The sequence below is a fragment of the Homo sapiens genome, chromosome 11 (assembly GCF_000001405.40).
Source record: "Homo sapiens chromosome 11, GRCh38.p14 Primary Assembly".
Lineage (NCBI taxonomy): Eukaryota > Metazoa > Chordata > Mammalia > Primates > Hominidae > Homo > Homo sapiens.
Genome location: NC_000011.10, coordinates 55,871,960 through 55,893,654, shown reverse-complemented (window position 1 = coordinate 55,893,654; position 21,695 = coordinate 55,871,960). Strand labels below are relative to the sequence as shown.

The 21,695-nt window shown below is 38.3% G+C and overlaps 1 protein-coding gene and 2 pseudogenes across 1 annotated transcript; 1 reads left to right on the top strand and 2 right to left on the bottom strand.

Annotated features, from left to right (window-relative positions):
* Positions 1–1,844: 1,844 nt before the first annotated feature.
* Positions 1,845–10,358, bottom strand: TRIM51 (tripartite motif-containing 51). The gene is made up of 7 exons (NM_032681.4): positions 10,271–10,358; positions 7,816–8,230; positions 7,437–7,532; positions 5,393–5,623; positions 4,654–4,676; positions 3,616–3,713; positions 1,845–2,522 (listed from the first exon to the last, which is right to left on the bottom strand). The coding sequence occupies exons 2-7, from the start codon at positions 8,224–8,226 to the stop codon at positions 2,023–2,025; spliced, it is 1,359 nt and encodes a 452-aa protein (NP_116070.2). The 5' UTR covers positions 8,227–8,230; positions 10,271–10,358; the 3' UTR covers positions 1,845–2,022.
* A 2,050-nt stretch (positions 10,359–12,408) lies between these two features.
* On the bottom strand, positions 12,409–19,072 carry LOC107984354 (tripartite motif-containing protein 49D-like; annotated as a pseudogene).
* On the top strand, positions 19,071–21,274 carry ANKRD33BP6 (ANKRD33B pseudogene 6; annotated as a pseudogene).
* Positions 21,275–21,695: the final 421 nt, after the last annotated feature.

Sequence of the window (21,695 nt, the reverse complement as noted above, 5' to 3'; positions counted from 1 at the left end):
ATTCTCACTCATAAGTGGGAGTTGAACAATGAGAACACATGTACACAGGGAGGAGAACATCACACACTGGGGTCTGTCTGGGGTGGGGGGCCAGGGGAGGGATATCACTGGGATAACTACCTAATGTAGATGACGGGTTGATGGGTGCAGCAAACCACCATGGTGCGTGTATACCTATGTAACAAACCTGAACGTTCTGCACATGTACCCCAGAACTTAAAGTATAATAATAAAAAAAGTTTTATGTCTTAATGTTGATGTTAAATTATCATAAATTAAATTATATATATATGCATTTGAAAAATTAGACAAAACATCAAATTCATTTATTTCAAACTTCTTATTTTATACGTTAAAATACTTAATATATATATATATAAAATTCTCTTCTGCATGAAAAATGCTTATAGTTTCTCTCCTTGATTTCAATGCTTCCTGTATCTTATCCTGCTTAATTTTTAAGTTTCTTAGCCATTGCCTTCCAAAACATTATTCAATATTCTAACTTCTAGCATCAATTAATGGAGTTCACAATTTATCTAAATAAAACACTGTAATATAACACTTGTATGTTTCAATTCTTTTCTTAAACTTCTCTTTGAGATTCATTAATTTGTTGCATTTCGATGTTATCTCTGTTTTGTAAAATTCTTTTGTACGATGAGATCACAATTTATTTAGCAATTCTACTGTTGATGAATATTTATTTTGTCTCCAATTTGGAGCTACTATAAAAATTGCTGCAATGATCAACATTGTGTTTATCTTTAAATACACATAGGCAGTCTGTGGAATATATTTTAGAATTAGAATGTCTAGCCCATAAGGAATGCTCATAGTCAGTTTGCCAAAAAGTATTTCAGTTTACATCCCTCCAGCCATGAATAACTTTCATTGATTCTTTATCTTTCACAACACACAATATTATGTGTCTTTAAATTTTGCTAATTTTTATGGAGGCCTGTAGTTCAACTTATGAATTAATTTTTATTATTCTGAGGACTAATACAAGTAATTCCTTTTTCATATTGGTCCAGATATTTATGCCTCCAACTTTATGAAGTGCCTATTCAAATATTTTCCCAATTTTATGTTGGTTTCCTTTTCTTTTATTTATTACATTCATTAATCACATGTATTGTATTTTATTGCATATATGTAGGGATAAATATTTTTCTCCACTCTTGGTTTGCATTTTAATTCTTGGATGGTATATTTTGAAACACAGAAGTCACCATTTTTTATATAAGCTAACTAAATTTTTCTTTTTAATTGTCCCTTTTTTGTCCTGGTTAGGAAATCTTTCTGTGTGAGAATATTTTATTGTGTTCCCTTCACCTTCAGAGCATGAATCCATGTGGGAATGCACTGTGTATGGTATGAGGTAGGGGTCAGTATTCAGTTATGTCCATTTGAATATTTAATTGATCCAGCATTGTCCTGATCCCCTTGTAAATTTCACTGTAGAACAGCACTCTAATAATGCATGAGCATTTTGTTTATAAGATGAGATTTACAAAGATAAGCACAGCATAGGAGGTCAAATAAGATTACCTCAAAGTATAGGTTCATAAATAAAACACATGGATAAGTATAATATTGTTAGATGAAGAGAAAGACAATATTTCCAGGTTACCACTGAGTCTTTTTACTCCAACTTTTTTCATGAAGCCCAAGATCTCTACTTTCTTCCATTGATTTTAACTTCATTTAGACAACTCTGTCATCTATTATTTCACTTTGTGACATTCAGAAATAATTAAAAACCAGATAATATATTCTATGCCATACATCATGGGTAATGATTTTCCAAAAATGATTTAAAAAGGAATCAATACACATGGTTTTAATGTTTTCACCATATTTAATAGAAACACTATAAATGAGTTTTGATGACATTAGAATGCAACTAAAGACATTAAATATAACTTATTTGTTCTGTTTGATGAGGTGCGAAAAAGAGGGCTTTCTGGGATAAACAGGTTCCCAGAGCATACAGGCACATTTCTGACTTTTCTCTGGTCAGAAGTGACTACAGCAAAAGATAGGCCTGAGAGGAGGTGAGAAGGAGCAATTGGGGATGGTGTATATCAGGGAACTTTGATCAACATCAACAAAGCTCACGGTTCTACCTTCACAATCCAGGAATAATCCTACTGTGCTGGTAGGTCTTGGAACATATTGCACCACAAGTGGGGAGGTGGTAAAGAGACTGCAGTGAGTGTCCTCCTTAACACATCCAAGAAGAAAGAGTCCCTCCTCTCCATCTATCTTGTCATTCTGTCTCTTCTCTTTCCAATAATTGTTACAGACACCAAAAGCCCAATTCCAAGAGTCCCCCATATGAACCTCCCAATAATATTTGCCAGATGTGAAAGCCTGAGCCCCCCATACAAGAAAACATTCAGATTTTCCAGTGATATCGGGATCATCTTGAGGGTCACATCCAACATTCATGCTTCTCAAATCTCCACACAGGAAGATATGACTATTGGCTCTTTCAGGCTGCAGAGTAAAATCAACTGCAAAAATAATTTTTAAAAAATATAGATACATGTAATTAATAGAAATTAGAATTCTTGAGGGAAATGTTGTTCTACCAAGAGTTTACTTTACCAAGAAATTTGAAGTTACAAGGACAGGAGAATTGTGACTACAACATTTAATAAAGTATAAGGATGATTAATATTCTCTATAGGAAGAACAAAACCCTAGAAACACATTGAAAATTTATTGAAAACTTAAAAATTGAGAGTCGAATATAAGACCAGCCTGTTTCAATCCAATCTCCAATGTAAAAATGAATTATTTTATGCCCTGAATGCCCTTTAGCTATCAAGGTCATTATTATTAAAATATTTCTTGTTCTTAAATACTAGTGATATAATTTTGGCAAGAATGGGAAGATTTTAGCTTACTCAAGCACCGCTCTAGATAACTGGATAAAAGTCCATATGTTCAAATTATAAGTGGTAACTTAAGGCAGATTTTTGCAAAATCTTTTACCAGTCACTTTGCGGACATCCGTGCTAGCTCTAGACTGAAACCGAATTTTGGATTTTACACCTAGCTCTTCATGTTGTAACTAAACTGAAATTATCATTTCCATTTTTACTTCCTATTTACATAATAATTTCTTCTTTCTTTTTACATGTTAAGTCAAATTTTACATTATATCAATAAAATATATTTATTGTAAGAAAGTACAAATACTCCAACAAACTGCAGTGAACTCTATTCCCCAATGAAATGTGTTTAACAATTCAAATGAAATACAGTAAAGAAATGTAAAATTTTTATGTAACCTTGGATTATTATGCTTCCTTCTGAGCATTTTTCCATTTATTCAATTTTTTATTTCTTATGTCATTCCATTTACCCAATATATAACTCTATCCATGTGAGCCCAGAACATATTTGTTTTTCACTATGTTGTACTCTTCATGTTATAATTTGGACTATAAATAGAAACACAGATATAAAAGGGTTGCATAGTCATATGGTTCACTTCCTGCTGAAATGAAATAAAGATTTGATGAAGGGTAAAATACTACCCCCATGATTCTAACAAGAAGTAATAGACTGTGGGAATTCTGCCAATGGGCTGACACTCACCTCTGAATCCACTGAGGCTGTCCAGCAGTCCAGTGATGGGCCCTGCACTGAGCTCTGGATTCACAGGCTCAGACACTTGCAGCAGCAGAGACTCATACCTGCAAGGGGAAAGATAGGGTTATCACATCTACAGCCAAAAAAAATACATAAAAAACACCACTCTTATTTAAAAGACATTTCATGAGAATCCCTTTAACCCACACATTTGCTAATTCCAAAATTATCATTTTATTTTTCAAATCCATTCTTATTCACAGTTCCTCATTTTCAAGCACGATGGAAAAGTCTATCTGACTGAGAATTCATTAGGATCTTTCTTCGTATTGCTCCTAGTTAGTAAGGATCATTAGTCTTAAGACTGGGAGAATAATCAAAAATGAAATTCTGGGTTCCAGACCTCACCAGAAATTCCTGAAATCACTGTCTGGAAAAGTGGGGTTATTTTTAAGACTGCTGCGTCTGTTGCTCCCTTCTCAAGGCCAGGGTGTTGAAACTTGCTCCAGGCAGGGAGATCTGCCTTTTGTAGTTGAGGTTCTCTGGAGGCCTACACGGTTCAAACATTCCGAATAGTTTGCTTCATCCATTTTTCAGAATTATATATTTAAATATAAACTAGAAATCATCAACACTTTTCACTGCTAAAATACTTTCCCCTTTTCTCTCTGGCTTCCCCTGGTTGACTTTGTAGCCATGTAGAAAATGTAATATTTTCTCTTTCAAATATGAATGTTTTGAGCAATAAAAAGGAAATTAGGAATACAGATGCTCACTTCCTTTATTTTTCTTTCGTTTATTTATTTTTTGTTTTATTTATTTATTTATTTATTTTTTTGCTTTTGCAGAACTTTCATTGAGCTGCTTAATAAAGTCACTGAGTATGGCAACAAAATAGATGACTACATGGGGTGGGGGATGGAGAAAGTACAACCAGCACAAGGCAGTATCACTATCTGAATCAATTATACCTTCAATATCAAAGTTCCTGCTTGATATTTGTGGAAACTGAAAGCATCTGCTAAAATCTTGGTGTGCACTCACCTGTGTAATATGTCTCCAAAAGCCTGTAAAAAAAAAAAAATAGAAAGGCTTAGCGCTTTCCACAAGATGCATCTTCCAGTAAGTTCAGAGTGAGATTTGGAGACAGTTTCTGAAGATACTATTTTCCTACAATGTTCCCTCCTGGAAAGCATTTTCTGTTTCTTTTCTCATGACAATCCCAGTCTATCATATGTCATGAATTAATGTCCTGATAAAGTCTAAGTCTTGAAGACATTCTCTTCACAAGTGAAGGGAGAGGAGGCCCACAGAGTCTATGCTCTGTGGTAACCATAAAGAAGCTACTCAGTCTTCTTCCCTAAGCCCTGTTACCAAAATGAGTGGACCCCAAAATAATATTAGTGTGATCCTAGATTCCCCAACTTCTCCATCATGCCATGTCTCCAAATTAGCCTAAATGCCAATGAATCACTTCTCATTTTTTCCACTTTCAAAAATCCTAAATTAATCAGTGACTTTTGATGGGAAATATTTCTTGGTGCTGTCTGTTACCTTAGCCATTCTACAAAGTTTTGTTGCTGGTGGATGAAGTAGGAGGGACCTTCGGTCTAGTAGAATCACTAGGAGAGGCTATACCCTCCCAACCAAGTAGCATTAGTTATGGAATCGTGTTTTTGGAAACAAATAATGGAAGTGAAGGGGGAGACGGAGTTCAGGAGAGAGGAAAAACACCCATGTATGTGAATGTTCAACATCATGATACCCCATGGTCAGTCCATACCTGGAGTAGCTCCACATCTGCTTTATGGCACATTTGCTTCAGATCCTCATACATTCCTCTTAAAAGCTCCCTGGAATGTTCCATTCTGGCTTTGCTTTCATTGAGTTGCTGAAAAATGTCCTCGCCCTCCTTTCGCAGCCTTTCCAAGTGATGTTGCTCTTCTTCATGGAGAAATGCAGGCATCTTCTGATATTCAGCTCTGATTGCTTCTATCCTTAAACTCACATAATCCTGCAGTGACAATTAGTCAAAATAGAAATGTTTTACCCATCTTCTCTTGAATTTCACTGATTCCTCTTAGCATTCTAAACACCCAATATTTTAATCCTCAATCTTGTCAATTCTCAGATTCCACAAAATTTTATCCCTTTTATTTTTTTTTCTGTACTAATATCAACATAGTTGTTTCTGCCCAGTTACATTTACTTGATTAATGATAAAATGTTTTCTAAGATAGTTATATAAAAATGGATTTCCCTCTTCCACACCACATTTATAGAAAGAAAACACAGTTCTTGCTTAAGAATCAAACTATCGAGTTATATTGACTAGGTAAGAAACCATTATTTCTACTTTGGAGAACTGGGGCAAGTTATGTAAAACCATTATCTGACAAATGATGACATGACCCAGACTAGCATTGTCAACTCAATGCATTTCACCCAGCATAACATATTCTAATAAGGTTTCATTTATTCTCTTCCAAACTCACCCTAATCGGCAACATGGGCTTCTTTGTGGTTCCTCAAACCCCCAAATAAATGCAAATTAAATATTACTGTACATGCTGTTTTCTATACCTAGAATTATTTTCATATATATATACATATTTCTCATATATGTACTCATATATATATTTCTCAAATATAGGTATATATGGATATATGAGGAATATATATGTGTATCTGTGTGTGTGTATATATATATTCCTCAAATGTATCCATATATATATATATATATACCAACATCCAGATACACATATATATTCATATATTTATGAGGAAGAGGAAGGCAAACAGGAGGATATACACATTTCCTCCTGATCAAGATTTTGTTTCAGTGTGAATTTTTCCATGAGCCTTTTTTCTGACCACCCTATTTAAAACTCAAACCCTCATCCCCAGTCCCTGGCCTCTGTGCTCCTTTTCTACTTTCCTGCTTGATTATTCTCCAAAGACACTACTACACTCTAACACATCATGTACTTCACATATCTGCATGGTGACCATTTGCTTTTCTCATTTCCATGGCAAGATTTGTGTGTTTTCTTTCTTCTTTACACCTTAATTTTCTAAGTTGATATTTGACATAGGCTAGGTACTCATAAAATACCTTTCAATGAATGAATATTAGAATAAATTAATGAATGAATATCAGATATCATACCCTCAATATAAACATCCACAAAGAGAAAATCATTTCTAGAATTCTTCTCAAGTCCTTAGACTTCTCCTTATATTAAATACTAGTTCCCATATTTCTCACATATTTATGTCTTCATCAAGACACAAGTGTACATTTCTCGCCACTTTTCCCATTATGTGTTATGGCTTATTCAATATTAATTAGTGCTGATATTTCATTTCATGCTTTCTCTAAGGTTGTGCTCTTGCTCCTTCTGCCTGAAATTTAGCTCACATTTCAATCTACTTGCCCACCAGGATTCAAATTCATACTGACTCAGCCTTAGAAGGGTCACCTGAAATTTCCATGACTGACAAATAACTCTTGTGTCCAGAATTTATCCAGGCAGCCCATTGGGAAGAGTGTGAAGTGTCCCAGTTTCTTGTATTTGCTGGGGTATTGCTATAGGTTTGTATGGAAACAGATGAGCATGCTTGGGTAACATCTGTGGTCTGATTAGATATCCTACCAAAGAGTCACACTAACTTATATAAAAAATTAGGGTGTTTTTTTCTCAAGTGTTTTTTCCTTGTTTATTGAATTCCAGAAACATTATGGGTTGAGATCAAGTTCCTATTTTAAGAGTCACCCATTTGTTCACTATAAGTTCCCGGAGAAGGTAGAGTCATACGGTACTAACCTTCCAGCATCTGGTTCTTGTGGTTTCCATGTTCAGATTTCTGAGATTTTCACAAGCTTTTTCCCATAAAGACTGCATTTTTTTTAGGAGCTCCTCCTGCAAAACAGCCACGAATTGAAGCACAAGTGAGGACAATAAAGTATCATTCACACTCTGATATACGAAGGACCCAAAATGAGAGACAAATTAACCCACAGAAAAGAGAGTTTGCTTTGTTTCTCCTCATGTTTGTCAAATCTGAGAGGTGTGAAGTCAAGGAAGCTCATAACAGACATGCTTAAGGGGACACAGAGATGGCATCATCCAATCTCGAAGGAAATAGACTTACAAGAATTTCATGTGTCCTGTATAGAAATAGATCTTCAGAGGCATCACTTACCCGGCGTTCCTCAGCAGCCCACTCAATGGGACAGTGTATGTGATTCCGGTGCTCCTGAGAGTTGGAGCACGGCAAACAGAGCAGGCTCTTGTCCACTTCACAGAACATCTTCTTTGTCTCTCTGTGCATCCCACATATTTGCTCCTCAGAGCTAAGGAATTGCCGGAGGCTGGCTTTTCTGGCAATGAAAGCCATGTTCTTCAAACAAATGTCAGTGTTGAGGTTTCTCTGCCGCGTTGTCTTCTTGCATTCAGAGCACTGAGCAAGAACTGCCGTGTCTTGCCAGTTGAGGTACAAACAGGGCCGGCAAAAGCTGTGCCCACAGTCTATGGTGACTGGGTCTAGGAAGTAGTTCATGCAGATGGGACAGGTGAGTGCCCTCTGGAAGACTTGCAAGATTCCAGAATTCATGTTTCTGAAGAAGAAAGAGCAGCATGTCATTTTGGGGTCTGGGTTGGTGAAAATCCGTGAACATGTGGTGATATGTGATAGCTATATTTTCTTCTTGACAGTGCTCATTAAAGCGGAACAAACTATTTCCTCTGTAACAAAAATGAAAAATTCAAACACAAAGAGAGTCTTTAGGCTTTTTAGCAGACACTGCTGACTAGATGACTCACAACCTCTTCTACTCCTGGTTCCTGCCCATAGCATAATGCAAATCTGTTCAAAAACCTACTCCCTGGATGTCGACATGAAACTCGGGTTTTAATCTTAAGTGGTCTAGAATGAAACATGCTTGTCCCTATTTCTCTTTCAAATAACAACTGAATGACTATGGGAGAGGAGTAGAAAACCTACATTGGGTAACAAAACATGAGAAGATGGTCAGAGGTTGCTATGACATATTTTTAGAGAGAGGGACCGAGAAGCCGGCTCTTTAAAACAAAAACAACCCCAGAACAAACCAACCGACCAGATTAAAAAAAAAAAGACAGCAATTAAACCAGTCTAGGATCACTAGGAGATAAAATAAATAATGAAAAATGTTGGGTTTATTTTTCTTATGGCTTAAATTAACTTCTTCTTTGGGCTACTCAAACTATGAACTGACATATAGTCAGTTTTTTAAAAACTGAAATATATATCATTATATTACTATGGTATTATGGTTAATTATAGGTGTTGACTTGACTGGATTAAATAATACATGGAGAATTGGTAAAGCATGATTTCTGGGTGAGTCTGTGAAGGTGTTTCCGGAGAGTCATGTAAGTTGGTGAGCTGAGTGGGCAACAGCAGCCCTCAGTGTGGGTGGACACTATCCAATCAGCTGGTAGCTCAGACTGAAGATAAAGGGCAGAGACAAGGCAGTTTCCTCTCTTTCTCCTGAAGCTGATTCTAACTCAGCCAGGATATTGGTATCTCCAGGACACTACCTTAATGACAGCCTATGTTCAACTTCTCAGACTCCATAATCAAGGGAACAAATTCCCCTAGTGGACTTCCTCTCCTGTACAGTGTCATGTGTAGAGTGAGGACAGATATATGATCTGAGGGACGCGTTAGACAGTCTCGTTATTGTTTGAACATCATAGGGTATACTTACACAAACCACACCTATGGTATACAGTATAGCATATTGTTCCTAGGCTACAAACCTGTATGGTATACGATAGGCAATTGTACCACAATTGTAAGTATTTTTGGTATGTGTATATATATATATATATATATATATAGTTATAGTTATGTACACATCCTATGGTTCTGTGTCTCTGGAGAACCCTGACCAATACAAACTGTAATCTTTGCCTTGGCAGTTTGAAGTCCTTTACCTTACTCTCTTTTACTAAACACTGCTGAATTTAAGTGCCAAGAGTGAAAATTTAAGAATTGCAAATATTTTTCAGAGGCCATCTGAGCCATTTCAAGGAATTTTTCACAGTTTCATCTGAGGTAAACCTCAATTAAAATGACAGCTAGTATCAAGTATCAAATCATTCCTTATACAGTTATCTGCTAAACAATCGTGTTTTGATTTCTAAGCTAGGGTATTTTGGAGAGCATTCTTATTTCCTTTAGTATCACCATTTTTAACTCATCATTGCCTCAGTAACTTAAAATCATGTCTAAAAGCTTAAGGTTATGAAAGCACAACATTTACAGTATTCAATAATTATCCTTTTTTACTTAATTAAGTGTACCAATATTAGTACATGCAGTACACATATATATGTTTTAATATGAATTCCATATACCCATGATGCATACAAATCTATTGCAGCAAACACTAGATATCTAAAATTTTTCAAAAATATATCAAACACTTTTGGAACACACAAAATGACAACAATAACCTCATGTCATAACCTCATGTCATAAAATGAATAGCAATAATATGAGTTACAAATAAGATCATTCGGTAAGTTTAGACAGTTAGATATTTTTATCACTGTAATTTACTATTTTAAAGGAAGAGAGAAATAATTTTCTCCATAGAAGTTGCACTCACCCCAAGGTTCTATGAATGTTTCCTGCAGTAATTCTTCCAAGAAAAAATTCTTTTAAGTACTCCCCAAGATCAGGAGCTCATTCCCTGCAGAGTTGACTTTCAGAGGTCATCACTTGAATGCAGTTAACTCTAAGTGCTGTCCTCCTCTGGAGAAATATGAGCTTGTCTCTTCTACATCCATTTAGGTGAATCTTTGAAGACCACAACCACCTATTTAGTGATATTTAGGGTATTAAGAAAGGTGGAGACAGAGATGATTAGGTTTATGCAATATTTAGTACACGCCTTTTCATCACTGATTAAATTAGCATCACACTATCATTGTAAAAACCACTGCCTGAATGAGGCATATCTATCATCAATCTTATCAGAGTAAACATATGCTAGAAATTAACTAAGTTGATTAAACTGTTTCTTGAGTTTCTTCCCAAGGCACAAGCATTCCTCTAAGTGCACATTTATTTATTTATACCAAAGAAAGTTTCACCCTCTGGAGTGCAGTGGCACAGTCTTAGCTCACCGCAGCCTTGAATTCCAGGGCTCAAGTAATCCTCCCACTTCAGCTTTCAAAGTAAAAAAGACTAGAGGTTTATGCCATTGCACCTAGCTAATTTTTCATTTATTCATCAAAAATATTTTTAAAATTCTTAGGTGATTACATGTGTTACAGTGACCATCCGGATTAGAATTAGATTAGGTTTAAAATGATGAAAGAATCTGGGAGAGGGGGCAGAGTGTTGGTTGTTAATTAGCACATGGATCAAAGGAGATTACTGATGTGTTTAGAAGCCACAACATTGACAGAATAAAAGCCGGAACTAACAATCCAATGGTAAATCTCTTTACTGTGGTATTTGCTGCCATTTCTGCTCCATAAGACACACCTTAACCACTTTGTCATGGTATCTGCAGTATTCTATTTTAGTCTAAATAGCATTTTCTCTCAAATGCATTCTATTTCTCTCTCCTTCATCTTCCCTCCCTTCTTTCTTCCAGCTGTATTTTTTCACTGGAGAACATTAGTAGAATGTTCTCCCAAATTTCAGATTTCAGATACGCATCTGTAAAATAATCTTATGGAGACACATTTTAATTGCTACTGAATACTTGGTTGTTTTCATAAGTTCGCAGCATTACTACTGCCTCCAAAAAACGGTTTCCCATTTCCACAGCTAATCTCATCATTGACTCTGCCATCCAAGTTTATTCTGTGCCACTCTGGAAGAATCTGGAAAAATACTTAAAATACATTTTAAGTATTCATCATGCACATGTATTGCATTTTATTTTATATATGTTCAGGTGAATATCTTTCTCCACTAATTGTTTGCATTTCAATTCTTGTATCATGTTTTTTGAAACACAGAAGTCCTCATTAATATAAACCTACTAATTTTTTTAATTGTTAATTTTTGTCCTGGTTAAGAAATCCTTATGAGAATATTGTATCATGTTCCCCTTACCTTCAGAACTGGAATCTATTTGGAAATGACTGTGTGTGTTTTGAGGTAGGAGTCAATATTTAGTTATTTTTTAAAATTCAATTAATCCAGCATTGTTCTGACCACCTTGTGTATTTCAATGTAGAAGAGCACACTAATAATGCAGGATTATTTATCTATGTGGTGAGAATTCCAAAATGAAGCCCAGCATGGAAGGTCAAATAATATTAACTCAAAGGATAGATTAGTAAAATGAAATGTGATGGAGAAGTGCAATATAGTTAGGTAAAGAGAAAGAAAAACATTTCCCAGCTATCATTAAGACTTCACTCCAAGCTTTTGCATGAAGCAAAAGATCCCGACTCTCTTCCATTGATTTTAACTCCATTCAGACATGTCTGTCATCTATTATTTCACTCAGTGGCAGTCAGAAATAAAGAAAAAAAAACAGAATATATTTTATGCCATGATCATGAATGATGATTTTTCAAAAATTAATAAAGAACCAAAACATATACTTTTAGTGTTTTTACCATTTTTAATAGTAACACAATAAATGAGTTTTAATAACATTAGGAGGCAATTCAAGACATAAAACAGAACCTATTTGTCCTGTTTGATAAGGCACAAGGAAGAGGGCTTCCTGGAATAAAGGGGTTCTCACAGCAGATGAACACATTTCTGATTTATCTCTGGTCAGAGGTGAATACACCGAAAGGTAGGCCTGAGAGGAGGTGAGAAGGAGCAATTAGGGATGGTGTATATAAGGCAGCTTTGATTAACATCAACGAAGCTCACAGTTCTAGCTTCACAATCCAGGAATAATCCTATGTGGCTGGTAGGTCTTGGGATATATTGCAGTGTAAGTGGGGAGGTGGTAAAGAGACTGCACTGAATGTCATTCTTGGCACATCCAAGACTAAGGAGTCCCTCCTCTCCATATATATTGTCATTCGTATTCTTCCCTTTCCAGTACTTATTACAGACACCAAAAGCCCAATTCCAAGAGTCCCCCACATGGACCTCCCAGTAATATTTGCCGGAGGTGAAAGTCTGAGCACCCCATGCAAGAAAACTTGTAGGTGTTGCAGTGATATGGGGCGGATTTGGACGGTCACATCCAATACACATGCTTCTCAAATCTCCACATCGAAAGATATGACTGTTGGCTCATCGTGATTCAGAGTAATATCCACTGCAAAAATAAATAAATAAATAAAAGAGAAAGAAACAAAACATGCATAGACATGTGTCAATAAGCAAAAATTGTTCTATCAAGAAGTTAATTTACCAGGAAATGTAAAGTCACAAGGACAATTTTGCTTGTAACTTCTAATAAAGCATAGAGATGATTAATTTTAACTACAAGACAAACAAAACAATAACCACAGGTATTAAAAATGGTTTGAAAACTTACATATTGAGAGCCAAATGTAAGGACCAACTTCTTTCAACCCAATTTTCAAAGCAAAATTTGCACATTATATGCCCTAAATAGTATGCTGTTATCAAGATTATTATTTAGAAATGTTTCTTATTCTTAAAAACTAGTGCTATCATTTTGGAAAGAATGTGAAGATTTTCAGTTACTCAAGAACTGCTCTTGATGACTGGATAAAAATCCGTAAGTACATGTCATAAGTGACAATTTAAAGCAGATTTCTGTAAAATCTTTTACCAGTCTCTCTGTGGTCCTCCATGCTAGCTTGGGGCTGAAAAGCTGGATTTTAAACTTAACCTGTAGCTTTTCATATTGCAATTAAACTGAACTTCTTTTTGTTTGTAATTTTACTTGTATTCACAAAACGATTTCTTGTTTTTATGTTTACCCATTAACTAATTTTTTTTACAATTCATGATAAACATCCATTTAAAAAATTTAAAAACCCCAGCAATCCCCATTAAACCATAATCCCCAAAAGAACAGTTCTTAGCTGTTCAAATGAATACACTAAGGAAATGTAAAATTTTGTATTTAACATTAACTAACTCACCTTCATTCTGAGCATTGTTCCATTTGCTCCTTTTTAAAATTTGCTACACTACTGGTTTTTCCCATTACATTACTCAGTATATATGAGGCCAAAATGTATTTGTTTTTCACTATCTTTCAAACTTAGTGCTATAAATCTGACTATACAGACACAGATACAAAAGGGTTGCATGATTATGTTGTTCACTTATGTCTATAAGGAAGTAAAATATCTGATAAAGGGTGAAATATTACCTATGTGGTCCTAACAGTAATAATATTTAGATAGTGGAAGTGCTGTCTATGGGTGGAGACTTACCTCAGAATTGGATGAGCCTGTCCCTCAGTCCAGTGATGGGCCCTGCACTGAGCTCTAGATTCAGAGGCTGGGACACGTGCAGCAGCACGGACTCACTCCTGGAAGGAAAAACCTGCAGTTACAACATCTACAGCCATAAAATAAATAAAAATCACTATTTCTATTTAAAAGCCAGTTCATGAGAATCCTTTGAATCCACAAATTGGATTATTCAAAAATTATTACTTCCTTTTTGGAATTAATTTCTATTTACAGTTTCCAAATTTTAAAGCATAGTGGGAGAGTCTGAGTCAGAATTCAGTCTGATCTTTCTTTTTTTCTGCCCCACATGTGTAAGGTTCCTTAGCCTTATGGCCTTCAGAATATTTGGAAATGAAATTCTGAGTTCCACTTCTTGGCAGACTCCCCTGACATCTTTGTCTGAAATAGCGGGGTTCTGGGGAGACTGCTGCATCTGCTGCTTCCTTTTCAAGATAAAGAATGTGAAGTTTGTTCTAGGCAGCTAGACCTGCCTTTTAGAAACAAGAGACTTCCCTAGAGACTTATACAGTTCTAACACTACACAGTTTCTTCAACATATTTTTCAGGACTGTTAACTGATATGTATGTAGGTATGAACAACAAATCATCAACTTTTTCACTGCTAAAATACTTCCCCCACTTCTCTCCTGCTTCCTCTGGTGACTTTCTCACCATCCACAAAACAAAACTTTATCTTTCACCTATGCAGGCTTTTAAGCAATAAAACAAAATCAGGAATAAATATTTTTTTATTTCACTATTTATTTATATATTTATTTGTTTATTTATTTATTCATTTATTTGTTTATTTATTTATTTAGTGTTCTTGTCTTTTCTGGTGTGAGAGTGAAAGCAGATGCAAAAAAAGGTAGTATCAGTATCTTAATCATTTATACCATGACTTTGGTAGAGCCTGCTTTGATATTCATGGAAACTGAAAGAATATATGCCAAAATCTAGGTAAACACTCACCTGTGTAATAGGTCTCCAGAACCCTGTAAAAAACATAGAAGTATGTAGGACATTTCACAAGATGCATCTTTCACTAAGTTCAGTGTGAAATTTGGAGTCAGTTTCTAAAGATATTATTTCCCTACCATCTGGAAAGCATTTTCTATTTCTTCTGTAATAAAAAACCCAGTGAGTCGTTTTGTCATTAATTAATGTCCTGGTAAAGTCTGAGTCTTGAAGACGTTCTCTCCAGAAGTGAAGGGAGAAGAGGCCCAGAGAGTCTATGCTCTGTGGTAACTTCAAATAACCTACTCAGTCATCTTTCCCAGAACCTATTACCCAAATGAGGGGACCTCAAAATAATATTAATGTGAGCCTAGATTCCCAAAACTTCTGATCTTGCCATGTCCTCAAATTAACCTAAATGTAAACGAATCACTCACTATTTTATACATGTTAAACAACCCAGAATATATTATTGACTTAGAAATGATTCAGAAGGTGCATTTCTCTAACATGTTTGTACCAATATAGGAGTTGGTCAAGAAGAAGACTGACATCTTCAACAAGTGAATTTTACCTCTGTGTGCAGGAAACTCCAATTTATTGCCATGTCCAATGCAGCAGGAAAGCCAGAAAAAAAGTAGGAGGGACAAGAGTATTTGGCTTTAAGGAAATCACCTGGTGTTTCTCACAATGCTTTTTATTCCTGTCCTATAGGTTCAAAATTAGGCAGATGGGACACCAAGTTGTAATGTATCTGGGAATGCTGTTTACACTCTAAGCCATATTTATTCTTATCGTTTGATTCAGAAAACAAATTAAATGACTGGCACAGCTGAAAATAACCCAAGAGATTTGTTCAATGAAACAAAGCTGAACCTCAACCAAATAGATAAGCTGCTGTCTAAGGTTAGCACCAGTTCTTAGTTATTCAAGAGTGGAGTAAACCCTGCTTTTTACCACTGTCGAGGTGTCCAGTGTTGTCCTTTTTAGAGCCTGGCTAGCTGAGGATTATGTGGCAAGAAATATCTTATTTGTATTTTAGTCCCTTAAATGAACGATTTGGATAGGAATGATTCTCCAAATTTTGAAAATACTTATCAGAAATATTCTCTTATTCCTTCACTCTATGCCACGTAGACTATAATAAACTGTCTCTCTTCTGCCTCCACATATTTCATGCAGAAGATTAGGGTTTAGCAGAGAGAAAGCTTATCACCAGCTTCTTTTGGACTCGCTGCTTTTTTCCAAGTGATCTGAGATGATAAAATTACTCACCTTAGGGCTCCAACCCAGCACTCCTTTTTGATTGTCACCTATGTTTTGCGAGCTTTTCTGTTGATGCTAAAACTCTATGCAACAGTCAAAGCCTCAAAATTTAATTACATTATTTGTTGCTAGATTTCAAGGAAAAATTTATTCCTGACATTCTTCTACTTTAGCTCAGATTCACTTTGGCAGAAAGACAGAATTAGCTACTTTACGATCACTTAGTATTTGACTCTGATTTTGGAAGATGAAACAGTTTTTGTGTCTATTTACCACATTTTCTTAGCCATTTAACCAAGATAATCTTATCGTATTGATTCTCCTAGAGATACTTAATTTATTCTCTTCACCTATCAGAATTTATGTTAGAATATCACCAAGACTTACTTACAATTGAAATAAATCAAAGAGAGAACACTAAGAACATTGTCAATCATTAATACATAAATCTTGAACTTCCTGAGATTTTTATCCCTAAAAGAAGTTATTTATCAATAGCCTGGTTACAGTTTTTTTAAATACAAGAATTTTCACTCTTCTATGGTACAAAAAGTAAAAATTGATAAAGAGGATAACTTGGAAAAAAATTAATCTAACAAAACAGAGACACATTCTTGACTAGCACTTTATTTCTGTACTAAATTTAGGAGACATGTAAATGGTAGGTTTCCTAAGTGAAATAAGACAGACACACAGAGAAAAATACTTCATGGTCCCACTCATATTTGAAATCTATTTTTATAAGTTTAATACATTCAAAAAGGTGGTTATATTGGTGGGAAGAAAATAGGTAAACGAAGGGCAAAAGTTGTAAAGGTGCAGTAATGTAGAATAAATGAATCTGATGTACAACCTGTAGGTATATTAGATAATCTTATATTGTTTTTGGGAAATATTCTGAGGGACTAGATTTTTGGTGTTCTTATCATCAAAAAGAAGCAGAGCTAAGTGATATGATCCATTTGTTAATTTTCTTCATTATAGTAATCATTTCCTTATGCACATGTATCTCAAAGCGACATATTGTGCACCTTGAAAATATAAAATAAAACAAATTAAAAAATAAAGGTAATTTTGTTCCTGCATGTAAGCTGAAAATAAGTGAAGACTGGGTCAGTAATAACATTGCTTTGCTGAATTAAGAGAATTCTCATAAAATATTTTTAGTTGGGAAGCTATCTGTATGAAATAAAATTGATCTAAAGCTGGTTACAGTGGCCATACTTATAATCCCAGTGCTTTGGCAGGCCAAGGCAGAAAAATCAATGGAGGCCAGGAGTTTGAGATCAGCCTGGGCAATATAGTAAGACCTTATCTCTACCAAAAAATAAACAGAAAATTAGCCTTGAGTGGTGGTGTGCACCTGTTGTCCCAGCTTCTCAGGAGGCTGAGTCGGGAGGATTGCTTGAGTCCAGGAGTATAAAACTGCAGTGAGTTCTGATTGTGCCATTGCACTGCAGCCTGGGTGACTGCAGAGTGAGAACTTGTCTCAAAAACAGCAACTAATTATTTTTTGTAGCTATTTTACCTGAAAGGTATAATTCTTTCTTCTACAATTAATAAATCTGCATATGTCTAGGCCAGCTATATCAGGTAGAGCTTGTCCTCTAGTGCTTATAGATTTATAGATATAAATCTATAAAACAAGTAAGACAATTATAAGGAGGCTCTAAGCAAAACAATTTTTTCTCATTCTGGATTTTGAGGTCTTAATTCTTTAGACTAATTTTCTGTCTCAATAGTGGATATCACCCTGAAACTTAATTTGTCCAAACACCTCACATAACCTGAGATTTTACAAAACATATAGTTCATAGGATCAGTACGTTCTTATGCCTTAAAATTCTCCAGGCATTCAAGGATACTACTATGTGGAAACTCAGGCCTTCTACTGCATTATTGAAGAGCACATTTGAGACTCACAGCTCTGGTTGCAGGAGTCTCTTAACAGGTCTGGACAATGAGTAATGTCAGTCCAGATAATTCTGAGGAAGGCTTTCTGCCTTGTTATGAGGAGGATAATCAATGGAGACTCTAGACAATTTCCCAGTCACCATTCCAGCATTTAGTTGCTGTTTTTGTAATCCCAGCATTTTGGGAGGCCTAGGCAGGTGGATCACTTGAGGTCAAGAGTTCAAGACTGGCCTGTTCAACATGGTAAAACTTTGTCTTTACATAAAATACAAAATTAGCAGGGGGCGGGGAATGGGGAATATGCATTAGAAGGGAAGGAGAACATACTTAACATACCATTGGAAGGTGAAATTCCTAATACTTGAGAACATTTTTGAGAACTGTTTAATTCTCACTATAGAAAGATGTACCCTTTGAATGACATTAAAAATTCACTAGAAGAGTGAAGAATAATATTTAAAATGTCACATAAGTAACAAGAGTCTCAAAACATAAAGTGTTCTGAAAGGTTAAAGTACGTATTTGAGATAGAGGAGAGAATAATAGTTAATTAATTAGACTTTATTATGTGAAAAGACTTTTCTAAAATCTTCCATAATAATTGAAGATGTAAATTACAATAATTAAAATATACAAAAAATAAAAGCATTAAAATAGTGAAACATTTTAAAAAGGGTAAACTTGAAAATTATTTAATTTTGAATTTCAAAAATCAGAAAGTGATTTTATCAATGTCCTAAAAAATTAAAATAAAAACAAAATAATGTAAAAGAAGGGAGGTTTCCACCGGGCTGGTGGCGGGAGCTAGGGCTTCCCTGGGGACACAGAAGCAAGAAGCAGGGAACTTGGCGCGCACCAGACTTTCCCGGACAGATCCTCGGCCCCCCGCCCACCCCTCCGGCCGCCGGCATGGTACTGCTGGCTGGGACCCAGCCGCAGGGTGGGGGGCGCGCTGCATGACCCCGCCACCGCAGTCCCCACTCCTAGGCACACAGGTCGAGGAGGACCGCGCTGACTACAAAGAGTTCCAGGACTTCTCCAGTCTGCCCAACACCCGCAGCATCACCTGGGACGACTCTTTCTACCCTTTCCAGGAGGAGGAGGAGCACGGCGTCGAGGGCGTGGAGAACGTCCTGGAGGAGGGCGTCCTGGAGGCGTGGGGCTGCTGCAGACGTTGGTGCGCCGGGGGGTGAGCGTTGAGAAGGCGCAGGAGACTGACCACAATGGCTAGACCGACCTTGATGTCGCCTGCTATCACGACTTTGTGGATATACCCTGGTGGCCTTAGCTGAGTGCCCCCACATTGAAGTCAACTGGCAGGACAGGGAGGGGAACGCAACCCTAATCATAGCTGCACAGGCAGGAGCTGCCCTTGGCCCCATGGGCACAGTTGCCTTAGACACTGGCTCTCACCTTTGTGCTTCCTGCATCAGCATCACCTGGCATGGTTCATTTGAGCTTTAACACAGATCTGGTGGAAACACAGGCTGCCAAGCCCTGCCCCTGGAGTCTTTCTTTGAATAGGCCTGGGGTGGGGCCCAAGAATAAGCAGAAGAACAGGTTTCCTGGTGAGGCTGATGCCGCTGGCCCAGGGATCCCACGTTGAGGACGGAGGTCCTTGAGGTTTTCATGCCTGATGATGGCCAGGAACCCTTCTCAGTAGGCATTGAAGACCAGCAGAGTCCCAGACCCCAGGAGAGTTGTCGTCAGACGGACACAGAGGCATCACGGAATTAAAGTGAAAATGAAGAAAGGAGCTGAGCATCTGTTTCATAACTTTCCTGCGCTGTTTTACTAAAGAGGCTGTTCTGGCCCAGTCAGGGCACTCTATCATCACCAACTACTTGTTGAACTATGTCCTGGGTCTTGACCTTGAAGGATGCACGCGTTCGGGTTGAAAGCCTCCATGCAGGGTGGAACCGATCGCATCCGAGCCCTGAGCTAGCAGGGGCGGGTGTCCACGCGAGGGCCCCCGCCGTGGGATGTCGCCAGAGGAGTGGCCACTTACACGTCCGCCTCATGCAGAGGCTCCTGGAGCGCCCCTGCCAGCAGCGGTTGGGGAAAAAGTACCAGCTTGAGCTGCCTCCGCTCCACGAGAGGGCGCGGAAGCCCAAGGGCTCGAAGAACTGCCTGCAGAGGGTCAGGGACTGCGAGCTGTCCGTGCTGACGCGGCGTTCCGTGCGTGGCCCGGAGGACCGGGGCGCCCTGGACCACATGGTCAGGATGATCACCAGCCTCTAACAGCCCCGCCGTGGCCCTCGCGTGCCAGACCGTGTGCCCCCAGAGCTCCCTGTGCGTGGGGAAGAGGCGGCTGGCGGAGCAGGAAATCCTGGCGGCTGAGGAAATTCTGGCGACGCGGCGGGGGGTGGGGAGGCAGGCGCAGGAGGCGGACGAAGCGGAGGGCGCAGAGCAGCACAAGCGGCCCTGCCCAGAAGCCGCGGGCTCCCGGCAGGGCTCCCCAAGAGCCGGCCTCCCACCTGCCCCGCTGCCGGGGTCCTGGGGCTCTGTCGACCCCGCCCCGCGGAAGGCCAGCCTCCTGCCCCTGCAGCGCCTGCTGCGGAGCAGCTTGCGGCCTGACGTGGTGGTGCCCCGGATCCGCCTCAGCAAGGCGCCCGCGCCCACCTTCCAGACCCAGAGGCCGGCGCGGAAGGGCAGCACCAAGGACAGTGGCCACCTGCGAATACCCAACTAGCCTTACAAGGTGGCCACGGAGGAGAAACCGGAGGCTGAGGAGGCCGAGAAGAAGCGCCAGGCCAAGGTGCAGGAGAAGCGCCCGCCGCCCTGGAAGAAGAGGACGTGAGAATCCGCGGGTGCTTGACACGGGGTTCGAGGGCAGGGTGAGGCCGCGGGGCTGAGCACCATGGCCGCTCCCGGGACCACCAGGCCGCGCGCGTTTCCACGCTGTCTTTCTAGAATGCTCCCAGGAAGGAGCTGGGGGAGCCACATCGATTCGCCTGACACCAGCCACCCTAGCAATCAGTACACCTAGCGGGCATGTTGCCTAAAAGGCTCCCTTTAGAGAACCTCAATTAAGATGTTTTTAAAGATCAATTTATTAGGCCGGGCGCGGTGGCTCACGCCTGTAATCCCAGCACTTTGGAAGGCCGAGGCGGGCGGATCACCTGAGGTTGGGAGTCTGAGAGTAGCCTGACCAACATGGAGAAACCCTGTCTCTACTAAAAATACAAAATTAGCCGAGCATGGTGGCACATGCCTGTAATCCCAGCTACTCGGGAGGCTGAGGCAGGAGAATCGCTGGAACCCAGGAGGCAGAGGTGGCAGGGAGCCAAGATTGCGCCATTGCACTCCGGCCTGGGCAACAAGAGCCAAACTCCGTCTCAATAAAAAAAACCTCAATTTATTAAAGAGTATTTTCTGTGTGATTTTGTATTTTTAATTGTTATCCAATTTGCCAAGTTTTACAAGTGATAGGGCCCCTTGTATCCAAGGCAGTTTTAATACACCTTCCTGAAGACCTTTTATTTAAAATACTGTTTCTAGCAATAAATATTTATGATATCTGTAGGAGTTTAC